The sequence below is a fragment of the Homo sapiens genome, chromosome 3, assembly GCF_000001405.40.
Source record: "Homo sapiens chromosome 3, GRCh38.p14 Primary Assembly".
NCBI lineage: Eukaryota > Metazoa > Chordata > Mammalia > Primates > Hominidae > Homo > Homo sapiens.
Window position 1 is genome coordinate 124726704 of NC_000003.12, and position 23242 is coordinate 124749945.

General features: G+C 42.4%; 1 protein-coding gene, 1 non-coding gene and 1 pseudogene across 5 annotated transcripts, besides 2 other annotated features; 2 read left to right on the top strand and 1 right to left on the bottom strand.

The window, feature by feature from the left end:
* Nucleotides 3407-4006: an enhancer, noted in NCBI's record as "NANOG-H3K27ac-H3K4me1 hESC enhancer chr3:124448957-124449556 (GRCh37/hg19 assembly coordinates)". NCBI's record gives its function as "activates a minimal SCP1, AML or CMV promoter by ChIP-STARR-seq in naive H9 embryonic stem cells {active_cell/tissue: H9 hESC(naive)}" and the evidence as "EXISTENCE:reporter gene assay evidence [ECO:0000049][PMID:30033119]".
* Nucleotides 3419-3828: an enhancer, noted in NCBI's record as "active region_20402". NCBI's record gives its function as "activates an Ori minimal core promoter by ATAC-STARR-seq in GM12878 lymphoblastoid cells {active_cell/tissue: GM12878}" and the evidence as "EXISTENCE:reporter gene assay evidence [ECO:0000049][PMID:35858748]".
* UMPS (uridine monophosphate synthetase) lies at nt 3749-22570 on the top strand. Of its 4 annotated transcripts, NR_033437.2 has the most exons (7): nt 3749-3924; nt 4803-4901; nt 8390-8543; nt 10865-11536; nt 13321-13496; nt 15449-15563; nt 17212-22570. NR_033437.2 is itself a non-coding variant. In NM_000373.4 (6 exons), exons 1-6 carry the CDS (start codon nt 3769-3771, stop codon nt 17379-17381), a joined length of 1443 nt encoding a protein of 480 aa, NP_000364.1. In that variant the 5' UTR covers nt 3749-3768; the 3' UTR covers nt 17382-22570. The 4 variants fall into 4 exon arrangements, 1 of the variants encoding a protein (NP_000364.1); NM_000373.4 differs by lacking the exon at nt 4803-4901; NR_033434.2 differs by lacking the exons at nt 4803-4901; nt 8390-8543.
* MIR544B (microRNA 544b) lies at nt 5736-5813 on the top strand. The gene has a single exon (NR_036088.1). It is a non-coding gene; the product is annotated as a microRNA 544b (primary transcript).
* On the bottom strand, nt 6715-7051 carry RPS26P22 (ribosomal protein S26 pseudogene 22; annotated as a pseudogene).

Here is a 23242-nt window from a genome sequence, read left to right on the forward strand (position 1 = left end):
TTGGTGCATGCCTGTGATCCCATCTACTTGGGAGGCTGAGGTGGAAGCATCATCTGAACCCGGGAGGTAGAAGCTACAGTGAGCTGTGATTATGCTACCTCACTCTAGCCTGGGCAACAAAGTGAGACCAGACCCTATCTCAAAAAAAAAAAAAAAAAAAAAAAAAAAAAAAAAAAAAAGCCTCGGGTTGTTGTTAATTTCATACTGGTATTTCAGGTGATAATGTTGTTAGACTGTCTGGAGGGTATTTTGGGCTGGATCTCACAAGTTTATACATTCTGGTGTGGACTCCAGCAATTTGGGTTAGCCTATACAGATATGATCAGGCTTTGAAAGTTTAAATGTGCCACCCACGTGCAAATGAGGCTGATTCATGGTATACTGTCAATTAGCCAGAGTGTTAAAGTGTTTTGATTAGCTTATTTTGCCAAGAAAACAAAAACATGTTTTAACATTTGGCTTCTATTTCATTAAGATTTTATTGCATTTATTTGTAATGAGAAACACTTGTCAAAAGCATGGGCTCTTCACATTGGCTCATCAGCACAATCTCCTGAGAAAATATAGATAATAAAGAATATTAGAAATGAAATCAGAATCAGGTTTATGAGTTAAAATCATAAGCCCCTTATGGGCTTTTTTTTTATCTAGAATTTGTATGTATTTTAGCACCTATATAGCTTATGAAGCCCATTTGTAATTAATATTTCATTTAATCCCAACAAATTCTTATGAAGTAAGTTATTTTACTTGGATTAGAGAAAACTGAGTCACAGAATCTAGGTGATTGTTCAAGGTCACTGAGACATTCACTGGAAGATAACTTTTTTTTTTTTTTTGGCACAGGGTCTCACTCTGTCACTCAGGCTGGACTGCAGTGGCATGATCACAGTTCACTGTGGCCTCAACCTCCCAGGCTCAAGTGATATTCCTGCCTCAGCCTCCCCAGTAGCTGGGACCACAAGTGTGTGCCATGATGTCTGGCTAATTTTTTTTATTTTTTGAAGAGACAGAGTCTCATCATGTTACCCAGGCTGGTCTCAAACTCCTGGGCTTCCCATCTCTGCCTCCCAAAGTGCTGGGATTGCAGGCATGAGCCACTGACCTGGCCCTAGAACATAACTTAAAATAAATGTGTATGTGTGTGTTTCAGTGTCTCTGTGTGTGTATAGTGTAGGTCAAACAATAATAAATAATTAAATAACAGTACCTCAGCCTATATTTTTTTGAAGGGGAGTGGTTCAGAGGAATCACCAATATAGTTATGGAATATTAGCAAAAGCCCTAATACAAATGATAATCAGAACCCCACAAGCTCAGTCTAAAATAGATATCAGAGTAGAATACAGAAGGGATTCAGTAAGCAATATAGAGCTAGGTCCATGAAAAGGCTCAGATTGAACTACTGCATGAAATTTTACATTCATGGAAACTCTTTAGGGTAAATACCTAAAATAGTAAGACTAAATATTGGTTAAAGCCAAGATCCTTTACCCAGCCTAAGTAAATGAAATGGAGAACACAAAATGAATTGGTACAATCTATGTTCCTCTGCTTTTTTTTTTGTTGTTGTTGTTGTTTGTTTGTTTGTTTGTTGTTGTTGAGACAGAGTCTCTGTTGCCCAGGCTGGAGTGTAGTGGCATGATCTTGGCTCACTGCAACCTCCACCCCCTCGGGGTTCAAGCAATTCTCCTGCCTCAGCCTCCCAAGTAGCTGGGACTATAGGCATGTGCTACTATGCCCGGCTAATTTTTGTATTTTTTGGTAGAGACGGGGTTTCATCATGTTGACTGGGCTGGTCTCGAACTCTCAACCTCAGGTGATCCACTTCCCTCGGCCTCCCAAAGTACTGGGATTACAGGCATGAGCCACCACACTCAGCTCTACCAACTTTTTATCAAGTGTTTTTGAGTGAACTATCTTATTGAATCTTCATAGTGATTTTTGGAGAAAGTTAATATTATTATCTTCATTCTTTTTTTTTTTTTTTGAGCGCAGTCTGGCTCTTTCGCCCAGCCTGGAGTGCAGTGATGCGATCTCGGCTCACTGCAAGCTTTGCCTCCCGGGTTCACACCATTCTCCTGCCTCAGCCTCCCGAGTAGCTGGGACTACAGGCGCCTACCACCATGCCCAGCTAATTTTTTTGTATTTTTAGTAGAGACGGGGTTTCACCATGTTAGCCAAGATGGTCTTGATCTCCTGACCTCGTGATCCGCCCGCCTCAGCCTCCCAAAGTGCTGGGATTACAGGCGTGAGCCACCGCGCCCGGCTTCTTCATTCTATTTTTGAGAAAATTGAGACTCATATAGCTCAAAATGCATTGCCAAAGATCACTCAGCCAGTAAGTAGAATGGGACTAAAATCCAAATGTTTTGGTTTGAAACTTCATGTTCTTTGTAGTGCACTATACAGCTATGCCTTATCTGTTCCTCTTTTTTAAAAAAGTATTTGTTATAGTTGACACATGATATCGTACACATTTATTGGGTACATAGTGCTATTTCAATACACACAATGTACAGTGATCAAATCAGAGTAATTCATATATTCCTCACCTTAAATATTTATCCTTTCTTTGTGTTGGGAACATTCAAACGCCCCTCTTCTAGCTATTTTAAAATATATAGTAAATTATTATTGACTACAGTCACCCTACAGTGCAATGGAACACTAGGACTTATTCCTCCTATCTAGCTGTAATTTGTGTCCTTTAACCACCCCCTACCCTTCCCAGCCTCTAGTGATTACTATTTTATTCTCTAGCTCCATGAGATCAACTTTTTTAGCTTCTGCATATGAGCGAGAACATTTGGTATTTATCTTCCTGTTCCTGGCTTGTTTCACTAACATAATGTCCTTCAGGTTCATCCACCTTGCTGCAAATGACAAGGTTTCATTCTTTATGTGAATTTAAGGGTTATTTTCCTTAAGCTAGAATAAAGTATTGCCTTATATACACAATGGAGAAGGGATTTATTTGTACAGATTATTTATTGATTATTTCTTTAAGGGATTTATTTGTAAAGACCAAATATGTTTGGATTTTCAGATTGTCTAGCAATATTATCCTCCTGGATAACCCTGATACCAATCAATTAACCGTCTTCTAACTCTCCTCCTTCCCTCCCTTACCTTTTCTACACCTATTACCTAAGCATTTGAGGTACGCCAAAGGAAATAAAAAAGTACTCCTCCAGGAAGCAGAGTACAGACAAAAGAGGTAATGAATACTGTAATGATCTAAGTGCTATATATTCCTATGTGCAAACTGCTATGGAACTGTCACGTACTAGATGCTATGAAGTTAATAAAAGAATTGAGTAAAGGTCCCTGTCTTTGATAACTTATATTCTATTTGGAGAAACATGGGGGGTAAATCTTGGCTAATAACTAGCAAATATAACATGTTAGGCCAAGGAGTAGAGATAATTAAGAGAACTAGTCGAGAAGGCATTGGCTATTAAAAAATGGACAGGATTTATGCAAACTCTCATGAAAGGTGGGACTTCATGATCCTACAGTCAATCTAGCTGTTCTGGGCTTTGAACCCCAGCGACCCCATCCAGAAGAAACCAGGAGAAGCACAAACTGGCGCTAGGTTCGCTACCATCCACCTGACCCTTGAGCCCGGGGAAACCCACGGGTGCAGCAAGCCGGGAAAGCTGCAGACGAGGCAGGCGGAAGAGGCGGGACTTCGCGGGTGACGTCATCGGGGCGCCGGAGGCCCGGGGCGCCTGGGAATTTGAAGCAAACAGGCAGCGCGCGACAATGGCGGTCGCTCGTGCAGCTTTGGGGCCATTGGTGACGGGTCTGTACGACGTGCAGGCTTTCAAGTTTGGGGACTTCGTGCTGAAGAGCGGGCTTTCCTCCCCCATCTACATCGATCTGCGGGGCATCGTGTCTCGACCGCGTCTTCTGAGTCAGGTGCTGGCCTAGGAAGGGAAAGGACAGGGCTTGGTGGCGGGAAGGAGGACAAGGAAATGGAAGAGGGTGACAGGAGTTGGGCCGTGAGTGAGAGCAAAAGAGCCAAGCAGGCAGACCGACCCTACTCTTGGTTTGGGGAGTAAGCATGAGAAGCACAGAGGCCAGGGGTTGGGCTCCTCGAGAGTCGTCTGTTCTTTCACCCACACGCTTAGACACGTGTTTTGCAAAAGTCGGGAAACCCAGTTTGGAACGCTTTCTGGCACTGAAGCACACTTGAATGAATTCTGTATATTTAACTCTTTAAGAAAATTAGACTTGCGGCCGGGCGTGGTGCCTCATGAGAGTAATACCAGCACTTTGGGATGCCTAAGTGGGCAGATCACCTGAGCCCCAGGAGTTCGAGACCAGCCTGGGCAACATGACGAGACCCCGTCTCTACAAAAAATTAGCTGGGTGTGGTGGCGCACGCCTGGGACGCTGAGGTGGGAGGATCACCTGAGCCTGGGAGGTCAAGGCTGCAATGAGCTGTCATTGCGCCACTGCACTCCAGCCTGGGCGACAAGTGAGACCCTGCCCTCAAAAAACAAACAAATAGACCGGGAAAACGTGGGTAGGCAGAGAATTCAGTAGCTGGGAAATTACTGGTGAGAAAAGGAAAATAGAACAACCAGAACTCTGTGATGTATACAAAATTTATCAGAGCCCAGAGAGACTTCAACCATACTCCCCTATGCAGCCCCGGGACAATTATTTAAAGGAATTTTGTCCCTGACTAGCTGCCTCTCCCATTATCTTAATGTACCTGGAATGTGTGATACAAAGAACAATGTATAGCTAATCAATCGCTTGTGTTATTATTTTATTTATTTATTTTTTAGATGGGATCTCTCTTACGTCACCCAGGCTGGAGTGCAGCTCTGTGATCATAGCTCACTGCAGCCTGGAACTCCTGGGCTTAAGAGATCTTCTTGCCTCGGGTGAGCACAGGGGCTCATGCCTGTAGTCCCAACTTTGGGAGGCTTTCTTTGGGAGGCTGAGGCGGGTGGATCACTTAAGGTCTGGAGTTCGAGACCAGCCTGGCCAACATGGTGAAACCCTGTCTCTACTGAAAATGCAAAAATTAGCTGGGCATGGTGGTGCACACCTGTAATCCCAGCTACTCAGGAGGCTGAGGCAGAAGAATCAGGAGGTTGCAGTTAGCCGAAATTGAGCCACTGCACTCCAGCCTGGGCAACAGAGGGAGACTGTCTCAGAAAAAAAAAAAAAAAAGAGATCCTCTTACCTCAACCTCTGAGTAGCTGGAACTACAGGCATGTGCCATCATGCCCACCAAATTAAAAATTTTTTTTTTTTGTAGAGAGGAGGTCTCACCATACTGCCCAGGCTCGTCTCAAACTCCTGGCCTCAAAAGATCCTCTTGCCTTGGCGGCTTCCCAAGTAGCTGGGACTACAAATGCCTGGTGCCACCCCCGGGCTACCTCCTGTTATTTCAATGCAAATTCTTGGTGAATATAGGAACTGCCCCTTCTTTTGCTTTAAAAATCCACTTGTAACTACTGTAATCGAAGCCTATAGTCAGGGCAACTACTCATATTAATTTTGCCTCAGCCTCTTCCTGTTAGGTCCACACTTGGAAGGGCTGTTTGGAAAGGGGAGTTGAATTTTGCACTGTGCGGCCAGAAGCAATAATTAAGACTAGAAGGTGGACATATTGGGAAAGCAGGTTTTTAGTCAATATAAGGAAAATTTTTGTACAAATTAGAGGTTTCTAATACAGTGCTTCTCAACTTTGAGTATATATGAATTACCTGGGAATTTTGTTAAAATGCAGAATCCATTTCTGTAGCTCTGAGACTAGACCTGAGGTTGTGCATTTCTAACAAAGTGCCAGCTGAAACTGCAGACCACACTGAGTAGAGGGCCGTAAATATGCTTTCCAATACAGTTTGCTACTAGCCACGTGTTACTATTGAGCATTATGAATTTTTAAGTTTAAATAGTCATATATGGCCAGTGGCTATCATATTGGACTGCAAAGATAGAGAACATTTCCATCATTGCAGAAAGTTCTATCAAGAAGACATATAAGTTTCCTCAGCCCACTTAAGGGTTTATGTTCACTAGGGACCACTTTGTGTGGTTATTGTAAAAAGTATTGAAGATAGGTTGGACTATTAAGGTTGCGGTACTTTGGACCATTAACTTCTCACCATCCAGAATCTTGCTATGGTGTATCTTAGCAATGTGGAGAATTACTAAGGATTTTCTAGGGAAAAATTGATTTATTTTAATAAGCCAGCTGATAAATGACAGAAAAAGTTTTTTGATAACTAGATCATGGTGTGTGTGTGTGTGTGTGTGTGTGTGTGTATTTTGGTGATTAACTGGGGAGGAGTTCAAAACATGGAGAGACTTGGGTATAACAAAACTTCTTTTCACATCTTATGCGAATAGAATTTCTCAGTATTTACACCCCAAAAAGCAATATAATTTATGCTAAACTCTAACTTCCCTTAATAAGTGATAATAAGTGATATTTGACTATAGTACTATATACACATTAGTGTACATAAAGTAATTGGAGAGGAAAGGTAGCATTAACTCACTAAAAATGCATTTTCCAAATCTGTTTTTATCTCTCTGTCAAAATTTGCAAATCATGTTTGAATTAATCATATGCTTGTTATAATTTAATGATATACAGAAGAATTCTCTTCTTTAAAAAGTACAATTTCCATTTTCTTTTCCTCAAGAGAATAGTTTCTCTTCAGTCCTTAAGGATTCAGCTCCTTACATGGGCTTTGGTGAGGGTCATGAGGCAGCACCCACAGGTTTAAATCAGATTGGGGTATTTGGTCCTTGTGGGATTCACAAGATGGATTACTGACTGCCTTGCTGTGAATGGCACAACTCACACCTTAATGTAGCTTCGCATACAGCTTGGGAAGAACATAGGAGGCAAAGTTGCTCACTGCAGTAATGTCCCTGACTGCTGCGGCCTCTACTATGTTTTGCACGACGAGCTTCTTAATGGTCTTTTCCTTGGGCATGCATCGGACATAGTATGTGCCACTACTGGCCACAGCCCTTTTTGGCACGATCATTGTTCCTTTCTTTTCTTTGTCATCTTGGAAGTAAGGACCTGAGAGAGCTACAGAAGAATTCTTGACATCTAGAGACTTATGGTCATGGGAAATTTTTTTTTAATTACCATTTTAAATTTCAGTTTACATACATATAGACAAGTATGACAGAGGGATCAGTAAAAGCTTTTCAAGTATAATCATATATTACTTTAGAATAAAATTCTGTGGACACAGTGGAGTGAAAATATGAGTTGGAAAAAGATGTAAAAAATTTTAAACTTTTCATAGTCCAGCAATTTCACGTTTTGTTTTTTTAAATGGAGATGGTGGATATCCAGTCACTAGCATTTGTATTCCAAGTTTATTCCTTAAAAAGAGTGATAAAACAGTTCTAAGATAATATGTTAATATTTTTAGTACTAGAAATTACATTCTCTGCAACTTAAAATAGTCATAGTTTTTTTTTGTTTGTTTTTTTACTCTTTAGAAGTACTGGTGTAAACCTATGATCTAGTTCACAAAGCAACTCAGTGACTGTTTGCTTTTTTAAAAAAAAAATGAGGTGGTCTTGGGTGGGAATATGTATCCTAACATTAAAATATGATGATTTATGTGGAAAAGGAGATTATAAAATAGCAATTCACACAATAGTCTGTATTTATGAAACTTCCTAATTGAAGGCTTCTTTCAGGATATATAACTAAAAGATGATAGGTTTAGATACTCAGCCTAATGGGTTACTGAGGAAACCAGGAAGTCGGGATCGTCCTTAGTCTTTGGGGTCAACATCATGAGCTTCCCCAGCACATCTCAGGTTGCCTTCAGAACAGATTCTGAGTCTGGTTGAATAGATTCATTCTTGTGTTTTTAGATTTATATTTGTGTACTGGGTTTATGGAGAGGGTAATAAAAAGGCATTTGTTTTTTTTTCTCCAATCAAGTTTGAGACTTACCCCCACTAGTTTATTACTGTCTTTTCTGTTACGTTGTTACATGTTTATACACTATTTAAAATAGTTACAATAGGCTGGGCGCAGTGGCTCACGCCTGTAATCCCAGCACTTTGGGAGGCCGAGGCAGGTGGATCACAAGGCCAAGAGTTTGAGGCCAGCCTGACCAACATAGTGAAACCCCATCTCTACTAAAAATACAAAAAAATTAGCTGGGTGTAGTGGTGCGCGCCTGTAATCTCAGCTCCTTGGGAGGCTGGGGCAGGAGAATCACTTGAACCTGGGAGGCAGAGGTTGCAGTGAGCCGAGATCGCACCACTGCATTCCAGCCTGGGCAACAGGGCGAGACTCCATCTCAAAAAATAAAAAATATAAAATAAAATAAAATAGTTACAATAAAACATTGTTTATGTGTTCATTTTCTTACAGGTTGCAGATATTTTATTCCAAACTGCCCAAAATGCAGGCATCAGTTTTGACACCGTGTGTGGAGTGCCTTATACAGCTTTGCCATTGGCTACAGTTATCTGTTCAACCAATCAAATTCCAATGCTTATTAGAAGGAAAGAAACAAAGGATTATGGTAAAATAAAAGTAACATAAAGCATGAAGTTAATTAATCTGTAACATCATACTCTTAGAATTTTTCCGCTTCTGTGCACTAATGTTTTACCAGTCATCTTGAGTTCTTTAAGTTGTTACTGCTTGTAGAATTTATAATTGTTACTATAAGTCACCTTCCTTTTTTTAGACTTGGGGTGAAATGCTTTGTATTGATTAGGAAATGAAAAGTGCTTTTTTTGGTACTGTATCTATGAAACTCCAACATTTTTTTTTTTTACCAGCCCTTCCCTCATCAGCAAAATGTTGTAACAGCACATACTTTCCCAGTATGTTTGTATTTAAACTTCATGAAAAGTAATCCATGGATAAAATTACTCTCATAAAGCAGTGTAAACACCTCAGAGAGATATTTTTGTGGGTTCATGGCAATAGATTATCAGGTGACTTGCTTTAAAACCCGAAAATTTGTCCAGGCACCATGGCTCACGCCTGTAATCCCAGCACTTTTGGAGGCCGAGGTAGGCGGATCACTTGAGGTCAGGAGTTCAAGACCAGCCTGACCAACGTGGTAAAACTCCGTCTCTACTAAAAATACAAAAATTAGCTGGGCGTGGTGGTATGCACCTGTAGTCCCAGCTACTGGAGAGGCTGAGGCAGGAGATGCGCTTGAACCCAGGAGGTGGAGGTTGCAATGAGCTGAGATTGCGCCACTGCACTCCAGCCTGGGCGACAAAGTGAGACCCTATTTCAAACAAAAAAAACCCTGAAAATTGGCCAGGCACAGTGGCTCACACTTGTAATCCCAGCACTTTGGGAGGGCAAGGTGGGAGGATAGCTTGAGCCCAGGAGTTTGAGACCAGCTTTGGCAACGTTTGTCTCTACAAAAATAAAAAAAGAATACAAAATTAGCTGAGTGTCACAGTTACATGGGAGGCTGAGGCAGGAGGATGCCTTGAGCCCAGGAGCTGAAGGTTGCAGTGAGCTATGATTATGCCACTGCACTGCACCCTGGGTGACAGAGCAAGACTGTCAAAAAATAAATAAATAAAACCTGAAAAGCAATCTTAATGATAGTAAGGAATTAATGGGCTTTTTTGTTTATGTTGGTTTATTAGTGTTTTGTTACTTTTTTTAAAACAAATCCTTCTTCTACAGATGCATTCTGAAAATTTTTATGATTAAAAAAAAGAAACATATTAGTTGAGTTTTTGTGGCGTAAGGGCAGTGTTAGTTTTTCTGTTTTTGTTTTTTGTTTTTTTGAGACAAGGTCTCACTCTGTTGCCCAGGCTGGTCTTGAACTCCTGGTCTCAAGCCATCCTCCTGCCTCATCCTCCCAAAGTGCTGGGATTACAGGTGTGAGCCACTGCACCCAGCTGAGACTTTCTGAGCTAAAAAAAAACTGTATGAATCCCTACCCATAAGAAAACTCTTATTTCTATTATTTTATGTTTTAAAAACTGTTTCTATGAAATTATGCATTTTTAAATATACTATAAATACTTGCAGTCTTGTGTTCTAGCTTAAGCTGATTCAGTTAAACTTACCAGTTGTTCAAGAAGCGGAAAGGATTTGATGAGTCTAAAGTCTACAGCCCAAGTTATTTACGTTTTGTAGATTATCTGAAAATAGTCTAGTGGGATTTGGGTAGAGAAGTATATATTTAATCACATTGCATTATATAATTCTTTAGATTGTAGTAATGGGTCTAAATGATTGCTGAATATTTTTCCTTCTGAATTTGTGTCTTCAAAAAGTCAATTATTTGGCTGATCTTGAATAGTGAACTTAAAATACTTTGATGGAAAAAGGAATTATTTCATTCATGATACTGGATTATTCTGTTTCATAACTTTCCTTGATCTAGGTGATCTTGCTGTAAGAAACTCTGTATTTAGGCTGGACGTGGTGGCTCACACCTATAATCCTAGCATTTTGGGAGGCTGAGGCGGGAGGATCACTTGAGCTCAGGAGTTCAAGACCAGCCTAGACAACATAGTGAGACCTCATCTCTATGATAAAACAGATTTTTTTAAAGTAAAAAAAAAACCTCTCTATTTGAAAATTTGATCATAAAACACATTAAGCAGTGTTTATAATGTGAAATAATTTACTTGATTTACTATAAATATACTGTATGTGTAACTGGCAAGTTTGGTATACAGAGTTGGCTTTATACATAAATATACTGTATGTGCAACTAGCAAGTTTGGTATACAGAATTGGTATACACATATACTGTATGTGTAACTGGCAAGTTTTGTATACAGAGTGTGTGTACGTATATACGCACATATACATACATATTTAAATTTGGAATCAGCAAAATTTTTTCTTTTCTAGGAACTAAGCGTCTTGTAGAAGGAACTATTAATCCAGGAGAAACCTGTTTAATCATTGAAGATGTTGTCACCAGTGGATCTAGTGTTTTGGAAACTGTTGAGGTTCTTCAGAAGGAGGGCTTGAAGGTCACTGATGCCATAGTGCTGTTGGACAGAGAGCAGGGAGGCAAGGACAAGTTGCAGGCGCACGGGATCCGCCTCCACTCAGTGTGTACATTGTCCAAAATGCTGGAGATTCTCGAGCAGCAGAAAAAAGTTGATGCTGAGACAGTTGGGAGAGTGAAGAGGTTTATTCAGGAGAATGTCTTTGTGGCAGCGAATCATAATGGTTCTCCCCTTTCTATAAAGGAAGCACCCAAAGAACTCAGCTTCGGTGCACGTGCAGAGCTGCCCAGGATCCACCCAGTTGCATCGAAGCTTCTCAGGCTTATGCAAAAGAAGGAGACCAATCTGTGTCTATCTGCTGATGTTTCACTGGCCAGAGAGCTGTTGCAGCTAGCAGATGCTTTAGGACCTAGTATCTGCATGCTGAAGACTCATGTAGATATTTTGAATGATTTTACTCTGGATGTGATGAAGGAGTTGATAACTCTGGCAAAATGCCATGAGTTCTTGATATTTGAAGACCGGAAGTTTGCAGATATAGGAAACACAGTGAAAAAGCAGTATGAAGGTAAGTGTATTATTCAGGAATCTGCAAGAATCAGAAATCCAGCTTAAACTGAAGAAGAAAAAGGAAATGCTCATGTCATTGAAAGTCCATTCATAGAGCAGGCTGTCAAGCGTGGTTGGATCCAGGAGCTCAAGTGATATCTTCATGACTTGCTTTCTCTCCATCTCTCAGCTCTGCTTTCTTCTCTGTTGACTTCTTTCTCAGGTAGGCATACTCTGCATGCTCACCCCAAACCAATCACTCTAGCTTGGGATGTAGAATACCTTCATTAACTAGCCTGGGCAATTTGCTCTGCAACTGTGAGGTTGTTAACTCTGTATGACCTTCTTGAAATAAGAACCAGTCAGGGATAATTTCCTTAAAGAAAATGGATGTGCTAGTACCAGAAGAAGGGTATGTGCCTGGGCAAGCAAATTTGACAGATGTCCTTGGCAGAATATGATGTTTTGAATGAAAATTCCACATAAAGGAAACAATGAAAAAGAAATATAAAATGGTAAGATTTATTTGTAGCAGAAAAAGTTCTATTGATAAACATTATTTAAAGATTTTTCTTTTATCAAATAGGGACTCAAAGTAGTGCATGTGTTGGTTGAGAAAAATGCTTAGTTCTACTGCCTATTCTATGCAAATTTCTGTCTATGTTTTTACAACTGTGTGATCAGACTATATTTAATGCATTTTTCACTTAACCTGGTAACAGATATTTGGTTGTGTCATATAACATTTTTTGTAGGCATCTTTGAGGTAACTTTTCTTTAATGTATGCATGTTCATAAGCTATTTCTTTAAAATAGATTTGTCTTTAAGTGACTTCTTCATGTGCTTAAGATGTCCTGCCCTCATCACATTGCCTAGCTTACTTTAGCTGATTGACTGACATAAGAGTTTTATACAAACTTTCTTCAGCTCTGCATAGAGTTTTTTCGAAAATCAGGCTTGTTACTGTCCGCTTTTAAAAGGAATATAGTTGCCTATTGAAATTAGATAGCTAAGGAGATCTAAGGAACACGTAGAAATATTGAGCGATAGTAAAGCTGCTGAGAGACCCCTGCAGAGTGAAAACTTGTCATCTTCAAGAAGAATTTTATTTTTATTATTATTTTTTTTGAGATGGGGTCTTGCTCTGTCGCCCAGGCTGGAGTGCAGTGGTGCAATCTTGACTCACTGCAACCTCCACCTCCTGGGCTCAAGTGATCCTCCCACCTCAGCCTCCCAAGTAGCTGGGACCACAGGCATGCGCCACCACACCTAGCTAATTTTTTTGTATTTTTGGTAGAGATGGAGTTTTGCCATGTTGCCCAGGCTGGTCTCGAACTCCTAAACTCAAGCAATCTGCCCACCTCAGCCTCCCAAAGTACTGGGATTACAAGCATGAGCCACCATGCCCAGCTTCAAGAGGAATTTTTAAATGTTATCCTTGACATCAATAAATGTTTATCTTCACTGGAGTCCCTTTCTAATAGCATGAGCTTTATTTGTGGTCATGAGCTTCAGCCTTCAAGGAAAAAGAGTCCTGTTAGTGTTCCAGATAAGCCAAGTGCAGACCTTGAAAGTTTTTTCTCATTGTGATCTCTCACCCAGCTACTTACCTGAATAACAGATACAGTTTTCACAGATGGAACCATGGGTCTGCTGATAATCACTAAAGTTCCTGAAGAGTTTTGATTCTCTCATTAACATGTTACTGGGAGATTATTTCATATTGTAGTTGGTTGGTTGGACAAGACGTTAGAGGTTTTGTTTGAAAATCAGCAAATATCTTTTTTCCCCCTTCTTCTTAGGAGGTATCTTTAAAATAGCTTCCTGGGCAGATCTAGTAAATGCTCACGTGGTGCCAGGCTCAGGAGTTGTGAAAGGCCTGCAAGAAGTGGGCCTGCCTTTGCATCGGGGGTGCCTCCTTATTGCGGAAATGAGCTCCACCGGCTCCCTGGCCACTGGGGACTACACTAGAGCAGCGGTAAGTGGTGGGGGGACTGGGTGAGAGGGGGCAGGGGCTGCTATGCTGCATGCTGCAAGAAGATATCTCCTAATCTGGCGTTTCTGGAACCTCTGCCAAAAAAAAAATCCAGCTCTTGTTAGTGTGACAGTATATTAATACTAGTTGGATAGAATTCCTTGATAGTTAATAGCATTTTATATCATGTAGTGGACACTTCAGGAATTTGAATTATACTCCAAGAGAAACTTTGAGACCCAGATAGTTAGTCAAACAAACACTTACTAAATCTACCAGGACTTTAAGATAATGTCTTTTTCATCTTACCATGAATTGAGAGAAGATGAGAAGAGCTTCCCAGACATGCAGTTTCTCAGAATCTCCCAAGTCCTACAGAGATGCACATTCCCATGACAGCAGCCCACATGCAGTGGCTTTCTCTTATTCTTGTCAGATATTTTAGAATATAATATTACTTTAAAAAAATTGCCATAGGGGGCTGGGCGCAGTTGCTCACACCTGTAATCCTAGCACTTTGGGAGGCCAAGGCGGGAGGATTGCTTGAGGCCAGGAGTTGGACGTCATAGTGAGATCTCGTCTCTACAAAAAAATGAAAAAGAAAATAACCAGGCATGGTGGTACGTGCCTATAGTCCCAGCTGCTTGGGAGGCTGAGGTGGGAGGATCGCTTGAGCTTGAAGTTCAAGGCTGCAGGGAGCCATGATCATGCCACTTTACCTCAGCCTGGGCAAGAGTAAGAGCCTGTCAAAAAAAATTAAAAATAAAAAGCCCCAAGAAAATCCCCATGATTTTTTTAAAAATGAAATCCCCAAGACAATCCCCATGTGAAGATTCTAGAAGTAAAGGATTTCCATTTTTTCATATTATTTCAGACTATTTGGAGACTTAACTCATATGGCCCTACAGTCAGGTTTTAACCCTATCCCTGAATTGACTATAACTGTCTGATTTCCCAAGTCTCAAAATCACAGGGGCCATGAGTCAGTTTTAATATTTGGCATTCTGGGAGTCTGGGTCTGGCTCAAGGACAAGACATGACTTGTTTGTTGGCAGTAGTACTTGGTGGCAAGAATGAATGTATCAATGTGTGTCTCAGGTCTCGAAGTACCGAGGCTGGAGTGCAGTGGTGGTACTGAGTCTGGTCTCCGGGAAGTATCAAATAAGAAGGGAAGTATGGGAGTCACGTCTCGGGGAAAGTACCTACCGAATCAGAAAGCCAGGCAGACCTTCTAAAGAGACTTTTATGAATGTGAGATAATAGTATAGAAATTGGGGAGACCAGTTGATGTTACAGAAGAGGGAAAGTGGTAGAGGTGAGATTTCTTTAGCTCTTGAAAGCGTAGCTGTTCTTTACATGACAGCTGCCTTTGGATATGGAGTACCCCGTCTGTAGATAGTCAGTAAGCCTTGAATGTGGTTTCATACCATTATAATATGTTCTAGAGTACTCGCCTCAAATCCTTTTTGGAAGTAGGTGGGTCACCAAGCATTATTAGAAATAAGAAATTATGCAGCATCTTGATTTTAGATGCATATAGTATAGGATTTCTGCTTTACGTATGGTTTATTGCGGGAAGGGAAGGGAAAGGGTCATCTCAGAGTCTTAATGAAGCAGATGTGTTTTATTATGGTTTCTATCTAAGATGACCTGTTTCAGATATAGTAACTTTATATATATGGAATGAGAAAAGGCATCTATAATACAGCAAAGTTTCTAACTAGATAATAGAGCATAAGCCAGGCATGGTGACTTACAACTGTAACCCCAGCACTTTGGGAGGCCAAGGTAGGAGGATCCCTTGAGCCCAGGGGTTCAAGACCAGCCAGGGAACATAGGGAGACCTCATGTCTTTTTTTTTTTTTTTTAAGTTTTGAAAAAATAGAGCATATTTTTACTTTTATTCTGTGTGATTAACTGTTTTCTTATAATATGTCCTATTACATTCCATTTAGGTTAGAATGGCTGAGGAGCACTCTGAATTTGTTGTTGGTTTTATTTCTGGCTCCCGAGTAAGCATGAAACCAGAATTTCTTCACTTGACTCCAGGAGTTCAGTTGGAAGCAGGAGGTAAATCTGGTCACTGGTCGTGGCTCTTCCAAAAATGCTTCTTTACCCATGGCAGGCAAAATAAAACTTTGCATATTATTATACACTTGCTTAAGAAAAGCCTTCTTAGTCTAGAACAATAATGAATGAGCCCTTTGGTAACTATGTATCTTTGGACAAGTCAGTTTACTTCTTTTAGTCTAATTGTCTGTAAAATGGGGATGATAACAGTATTGACCTCATAAGGTAATCAAGATGCTTTAATGAGATAACATGTAGAATATTTAACACAATGTCTTGGCACAGAGTAAACACTCTGTACTTATAAGCCCTTATTCGTAAGCCCTAATAATTGTTTGACTAGATATTATAGTTAGGGTCTAGGCTTTTAAGAATACTTAAAGTATCTTGGATTTGGAAGATAATAAGCCATTTAACAGAATGCTTCTGAAACAGCGGAATTTAATAAAAAAGCAAAATTTAAGGATTCGGGTTTATGGATAGTCTGTGTGACCACTTGATGGGGTTCTTGTATATGGTAGTGGTCAGGTTAGACTTGCTCAGCAGTGCCTTGTGGTGATTCTAAGATGTGTGCTAAAATTTTCTTCAATTGTGAGGCCAATCTTTATTGTATTTTTTTGATATTGAACCTTTCTTTGCAACATATGAGTTTTACTTCTTTTTTTAATATATTGTTAAGCTACAGATGATCTAAAATTTGACATTGAGGGGGTGAATATTTAGGGCAACTTGAATTTATGCTTCTGGAAAAAAATTACATGAAAAAATAATGATAAAATAAATAAGGCTGGGTGCGGGGGCTCACGCTCGTAATCCCAGCACTTTGTGAGGCCGAGGTGGGCAGATCACCTGAGGTCAGGAGTTCAAGACCAGCTTGGCCGACATGGTGAAACCCTGTCTCTACTCAAAATACAAAAATTAGCCGGGCGTGGTGGTGCACGCTTTTAATCCCAGCTACTCGGGAGGCTGAGGCAGGAGAATCGCTTGAATCCGGGAGGCGGGGGTTGCAGCGAGCTGAGATTGTGCCATTGCACTCCAGCCTGGGTGACAGAGCAAGACTCTGTCTCAAAAAAATAAATAAATAAATAGGGCGGGGCGCAGTAGCTCATGCCTGTAATCCCAGCACTTTGGGAGGCTGAGGCGGGCGGATCATGAGGTCAGGAGATCGAGACCATCCTGGCTAACACGGTGAAACTCCATCTCTACTAAAAAATACAAAAAATTAGCCAGGCGTGGTGGCAGGCGCCTGTAGTCCCAGCTACTCGGGAGGCTGAGGCAGGAGAATGGCATGAACCTGGGAGGCAGAGCTTGCAGTGAGCCGAGATAGCACCACTGCACTCCAGCCTGGGTGACAGAGCGAGACTCCGTCTCAAAAAAATAAATAAATAAAAATAAATAAATAAATAAATAAATAAAATAAACTTTACCATTGAAAAGGAGTTGGTGATCATCTTTCTCCATTTGACGTCTCTGGCCTACCCAGTGAGTCTCTTCAGCTCCTGTTTTTACGCAGTTGCTGTACAAAAGGGGAACGAAAGTAGGGGCATGTTTTTATTTAAAGCTGGTTAGATACTTTTTCAGAGAAGTCATGTGACAGGTTTTCTGATTTTTGTATTATGTGAAACAACAATTTTTGTGTTTCTTGCAGGAGATAATCTTGGCCAACAGTACAATAGCCCACAAGAAGTTATTGGCAAACGAGGTTCCGATATCATCATTGTAGGTCGTGGCATAATCTCAGCAGCTGATCGTCTGGAAGCAGCAGAGATGTACAGAAAAGCTGCTTGGGAAGCGTATTTGAGTAGACTTGGTGTTTGAGTGCTTCAGATACATTTTTCAGATACAATGTGAAGACATTGAAGATATGTGGTCCTCCTGAAAGTCACTGGCTGGAAATAATCCAATTATTCCTGCTTGGATTCTTCCACAGGGCCTGTGTAAGAATGGGTTCTGGAGTTCTCATGGTCTTTAGGAAATATTGAGTAATTTGTAATCACCGCATTGATACTATAATAAGTTCATTCTTAAGCTTGCTTTTTTTGAGACTGGTGTTTGTTAGACAGCCACAGTCCTGTCTGGGTTAGGGTCTTCCACATTTGAGGATCCTTCCTATCTCTCCATGGGACTAGACTGCTTTGTTATTCTATTTATTTTTTAATTTTTTTCGAGACAGGATCTCACTCTGTTGCCCAGGATGGAGTGCAGTGGTGAGATCACGGCTCATTGCAGCCTCGACCTCCCAGGTGATCCTCCCACCTCAGCTTCCAGATTAGCTGGTGCTATAGGCATGCACCACCACGTCCATCTAAATTTCTTTATTATTTGTAGAGATGAGGTCTTGCCATGTTACCCAGGCTGGTCTCAACTCCTGGGCTCAAGCGATCCTCCTGCCTCAGTCTCTCAAAGTGCTGGGATTACAGGTGTGAGCCACTGTGCCCAGCCTAATTGCAGTAAGACAAAAATTCTAGGGCACCAAGAGGCTAAAGTCAGCACAGCTTTTCTTGTGTCCTGTATTCTCTGTCTAATGTGTTGCCCAAATAATACCTAATTGTTAGCCATTCCCCTCCATCTCTGGCCTAAAAGTGATAGTCCAGGTATCCACATGGGCTGGTTCCCAGAACTGCCATTGCTCACTCTCCAAAGAGGGGAAGGTGGGGAAGGGGAAGGTGACTATAGCTCAGCTCCTGAGCTAGTATCTGGCTGTTATTTCAACAACCGGAGTTGGGGTTTGGGCTCATTTTTTCCCCTAGCCAGCAATTATGGACCAGTAGTAACACAAGTGACAGCTTCCTGTGACTGACTTCACAATTAGGAGGTCTAAGATTCCATTTGGGTATTTGCTTAAGGATCCCACATAATTGTCCCAACGGTCATTAGTAGAGGGGAGGTAAGCCTTCATTAATAATAAAGAGAAAGCCCACATTCAAGGTGGTGTTTGAGCAGGGGCAGGGTGAGGGCTGTCCCGGTGCTCATTGCACCAGCACACTCACATTCCTTCTCATTTGGGGCCCACCTGCAGGAAGTGGCACAGGATCAGCCATTTCCCCACCCTTGTCAGCTGATGGCCCACTGTTCTTTAATGACTCAGAGGAATGCCTAGGATTTTTTTTTTTTTTTGAGACAGAATCTCACTGTCGCCCAGGCTGGAGTTCAGTGGCACGATCTCGGCTCACTGCAACTTCTGCCTCTCTGGTTCAAGCAGTTCTCCTGCCTCAGCCTCCCGAGTAGCTGGGACTACAAGCCTAGGATTTTTAACTCAGGTTTTTATTATATTCCCTCCTGAAGTTTTTACTTCAAGAGCTTCTGCTCTAAAGTCCAATTTGGGCTTCATGTCCCCAGTGCTGCATCTCCAGGGAAATGCTGTCTGTGGGAGAGACCAACTCTCAAGGAAGAAGTGGCCACAGAAGGAGCAGGAAGGGAGTTGGCCCTCAGGGCTACTCTGGGGAAGCCAAAAGTCATGAAGGGGAGAAGAATTTTCTGACAAAAACTTGCAGGAATCTCTTAGGTGTCTTCAGTGTTGGAGTGATATGTTGAGAGGCCTTTGGAGTGATGTGCTGAGGTCTCAGGCGCCCACCTCCCTGGCTGTCACTTCCATGTGTCAGTGGTTCTCCCACTTTAGCAGGTATCAGAGTCACCTGGAGTCTTGTCAAAACAGGTACCAGCCCCACCCGCAGCGTTTCTGACTCTGGGTAGCTCTGGGATGGGGCTTGAGAATTTGCGTTTCCAAAAAGGTCCCAGGTGATGCTGCGGTTGCCTGCGCAGGGACTGGACTTTGAGAACCACTTCACTGGTTATTCACATTTCTGCCTCTGCAGTGAGACAGCCTTGAGGTCTGCCTCCTGCTAAGAGTCACATGCTCCTGTCCTTTAGAAATGTGGGCTCCTGCCATCTCCAGGACGCAGGCACTGTTCCTGTTGATGAACCCTATTTCACAGGACCCCTGCTAAGGTGATTTGAGGGGAAATGAGAGGAGGCTCAAATAATCACCCAGCCCCTGCCACTTACTGAAAGTGTAGGTCCTTGTGCCCCACACCATCAGAGTTTCTGCGTTAGCAGATTTGTGGTTTGCCCAGCAGCCTGGGCGTGTGCATTTCTAATGGGTGCCTCAAGTGATCTGTTTCTGATTTGTATTTCTATTGTGAAGAGTCAGCCCAGTACTGCAGGCCTCTTACCTAAGCAGAATCCCAGTCTGGCATCAAAGCTTTAGAGGACAAGTTGATTCAGGCAGAGAAGAACTTGGGCTATACAAGCGCTGTTCTTCAGCATTGAAGTATTTTGGAGGCATTAGATAGTTTAACCCTTTCTCAGTCAAGGAATATTTACAGAACATGATCTCTGGGCATTGTAACTCCTGGTCTTAGTGGGGAATATAGGGACCCCATGTCTCCATGGGGTGCACAGAATGTCTGTGAGACTGATGGAGTGGAGAACGCCATCCCCCAGCCTCTCCAGCTACTCGAGGCATTCTGTAGAACATAAGCCCATAGATTGTGTGTGTGTGTGTGTGTGTGTGTGTGTGTGTGTGTGTGTGCATGCGCGCGCGTGCGCACTGGAGGAACCTAAGAAACTATTTGGTGCACTTCCTCTTATTTTAGAGCTCCCAAAGTGTAGCTCCAGAATCGTAAAGGGATATGCTCAGTCTCACAGCCAGCCTGTGGATCTCAGTCCCAACACTCACCCTTGTGCTACTGAGTCAGCTCTAAGAAAATCTGCCAAAAGTAGGCCGAGGGCTGGTTTTTTGTTTTGTTTTGTTTGTTTGATACAGGGTCTTCACTCTGTTGCCCAGGCTGGAGTATATCATGGCTCACTGCAACCTTGACTTGGGCTCAAGCGATCCGCTCAAGTAGCTGGAACTACTCTCAAGTAGCTCTCAAGAGCCTCTCGAGTGGCTGGAACTACAGGCGTGCACCACCACAGCTGGTTAATTTTTAAAATTTTTTGTAGAGACGGTGGAGGAGGTTCTCACTGTGACTCAGTGTGTGCCCGACAGCAGAGCCCACACCACTCCAGTTGCAGTGGTTGCCATCTGGGTCATCAGACCTGGCTGTCAGGGGTGCAGCCACAGGAGAGCCAACAGCAGAGGGTGCTGGCCGCTGAGCTAGCTGCTAATGCTGGCCTGGGTGCAGTTCTCATCCAAAGTACCCGGTGGGTGGGAGTCACTCAGTACCAGTTCCGAGCCTGAACCCAAACTCTCGTGTTTCTGCTCACCCCTCTCTGGCTTCTGCCACCACATGGGAAGAATATGCCCTGGTTAGCCCATGGCTTCTGAAGAGCAAGAGAAAGTAGAGCAGAGCCTACTCCAGCCTCCCCCGTCCAATGTATGAAAGCCCCAGCTGATCTGTAAGCCTGGGAGCGTGATAAATGCTTAGTAGTGCATGCCATGGAGTTCCAGGGTGGTTTATTACACGGCAATATCTAGCTAAATACATTTAACTTGCTGCAGCTCTCTGGATCCAGCCTGGTTACCAGGAAGACAAAAACTGGGCTCCACCAGGAACCAGTCTTCTGCCTTCCCAACCATCACCTCTGGCTGCATCAGCGATCTCTCCCAGCGAAATAGCTGCTTGGTCTTGTGTGAATCCTGTACTTTAACACAGTGGACCAAGTGTCAGTCATTGAAAATGACCATGAGTAACCCTGTGGACTCTCTGCAGCTTGGTTCCTTTGCCCCTTAACAGGTGGGTATGAATCGTGTCTTCAGTGCCAGGGCTGAATGAGAAAGGGCATTCCTTTTTGAAGGAATCTGATACTAAACACAAAGCATGAGAAAAATCAGGACTTGTTGGAGTTATATTTTTAAAATATATATTTTAACAGTTATATATATTAGATATAATATATAATAGTATATATAAATAATACTATATTGCCCAGGCTGGTCTCGAACTCCTTAGCTCAAGTGATCCTCCTGCCTTGGCTTCCCAAAGTGCTAGGATTACAGGTGTGAGCCACTGCTCCCGGCCTGTTGGAGTTCTTTACATTTATTTTATAATCAATGCTGTTTTATTAAATGCGGATTTTATTTTGGATTACAGGATGTAGAATGCCATATTTTTCTTAGATCATAGGGCCTTTCACATTTGTAATTTGGCCTTGTATGAGTTACCCTGCAATCCCTTTGTTTTCCCCATAACCCTTCCAAAGGAAGGCCGCAATAGAAATACAAAGAGAAACAAAATAATTAGAATATTTTTTAACTTCTAAAGTTCAAGGTTTTGGCATAAGTCTGGTTTAGAAGCACATTTGCCTAGCCCTTTCCTTCCCACCAAGGGGGAAAGTCTTCCTCTAGACAAGAGGCAGAGGGCTCCTCAGAGTCAGATCCTGGTGTGGGCTCTCACGTGCTGCTGCTGAATCCCAGGGAAGGAGGGAGGAAGGGCAGTTGACACCCAAAATAAGGGTGGGGAACTGTCAGCAGAGGAGGTCTGTGTCATGTTTTTCAGCGCTGGGGTTGGGGGGAGCCCAGGAGAGCAGGAAGATCCAGAGATCCCTCGCCCCAGCTCGGCCATGTGTGTCTGGGACAGAGCCTGAGGTGGCCTGAGCTTCCTGTGGCTCCAGAGTAACATTATAGAGAAGCTGAATTCTCCTGTTTTTCTGAAAAGGGCATGGGAGTTAGCTGAGAAGCAGACCTGGTGGGCCTGAGAGTCTCAATCGTCAGGTAAGGACAGTCAGTGGGAAGTGGACGGGCCGCACAACCAAGGTTCTCATGAGGACAACCATGTCTTCGGGGGTGCCCTTGTGCACAGACAGCTCCATAGTCCTGCCTCCAATGTCCCAACACTGCATTGTCTCCCTGCACTTAGCAGCCCTGCAGGGTGAGACTTGGGGAGGATCCTGAAATGATTGTATTTAACAAGACATGCTGTCCTTGTTTACCTGGAACCTAGCAATGTTGTTTTCTGCCACAACTTGAATAGATACTTGAAGCAGAGATGATGTTGAGTTAAAAAAAATATATACATAAAAATATGGGTTCTTTTCAACCTGAATAGATGGCCTAAAAATTCAAACTTGCCTCATGGCATTTGTTCAAGGAAAACCGGTATAGGTAGTCTTTGACCTCCTTTCCTCCCTTATCCTTTGTTCTTCCTTCTGAGGACTAAACTCTGATTTATTTATTTATTTATTTATTTATTTATTTATTTATTTATTGATCATTCTTGGGTGTTTCTCGCAGAGGGGGATTTGGCAGGGTCACAGGACAATAGTGGAGGGAAGGTCAGCAGATAAACAAGTGAACAAAGGTCTCTGGTTTTCCTAGGCAGAGGACCCTGCGGCCTTCCGCAGTGTTTGTGTCCCTGGGTACTTGAGATTAGGGAGTGGTGATGACTCTTAACGAGCATGCTGCCTTCAAGCGTCTGTTTAACAAAGCACATCTTGCACCGCCCTTAATCCATTTAACCCTGAGTGGACACAGCACATGTTTCAGAGAGCACAGGGTTGGGGGTAAGGTCACAGATCAACAGGATCCCAAGGCAGAAGAATTTTTCTTAGTACAGAACAAAATGAAAAGTCTCCCATGTCTACCTCTTTCTACACAGACACGGCAACCATCCGATTTCTCAATCTTTTCCCCACGTTTCCCCCCTTTCTATTCCACAAAATTGCCATTGTCATCATGGCCCGTTCTCAATGAGCTGTTGGATACACCTCCCAGACGGGGTGGTGGCCGGGCAGAGGGG

Excerpts from the sequence above, each read along its gene's own strand:
- UMPS (NM_000373.4), top strand. The coding sequence starts at position 3,769 with ATGGCGGTCGCTCGTGCAGCTTTGGGGCCATTGGTGACGGGTCTGTAC. Across the intron at positions 11,537-13,320 it reads AGTGAAAAAGCAGTATGAAG|GAGGTATCTTTAAAATAGCT; the intron begins GTAAGTGTATTA and ends CCTTCTTCTTAG. Across the intron at positions 13,497-15,448 it reads GGGACTACACTAGAGCAGCG|GTTAGAATGGCTGAGGAGCA; the intron begins GTAAGTGGTGGG and ends CATTCCATTTAG.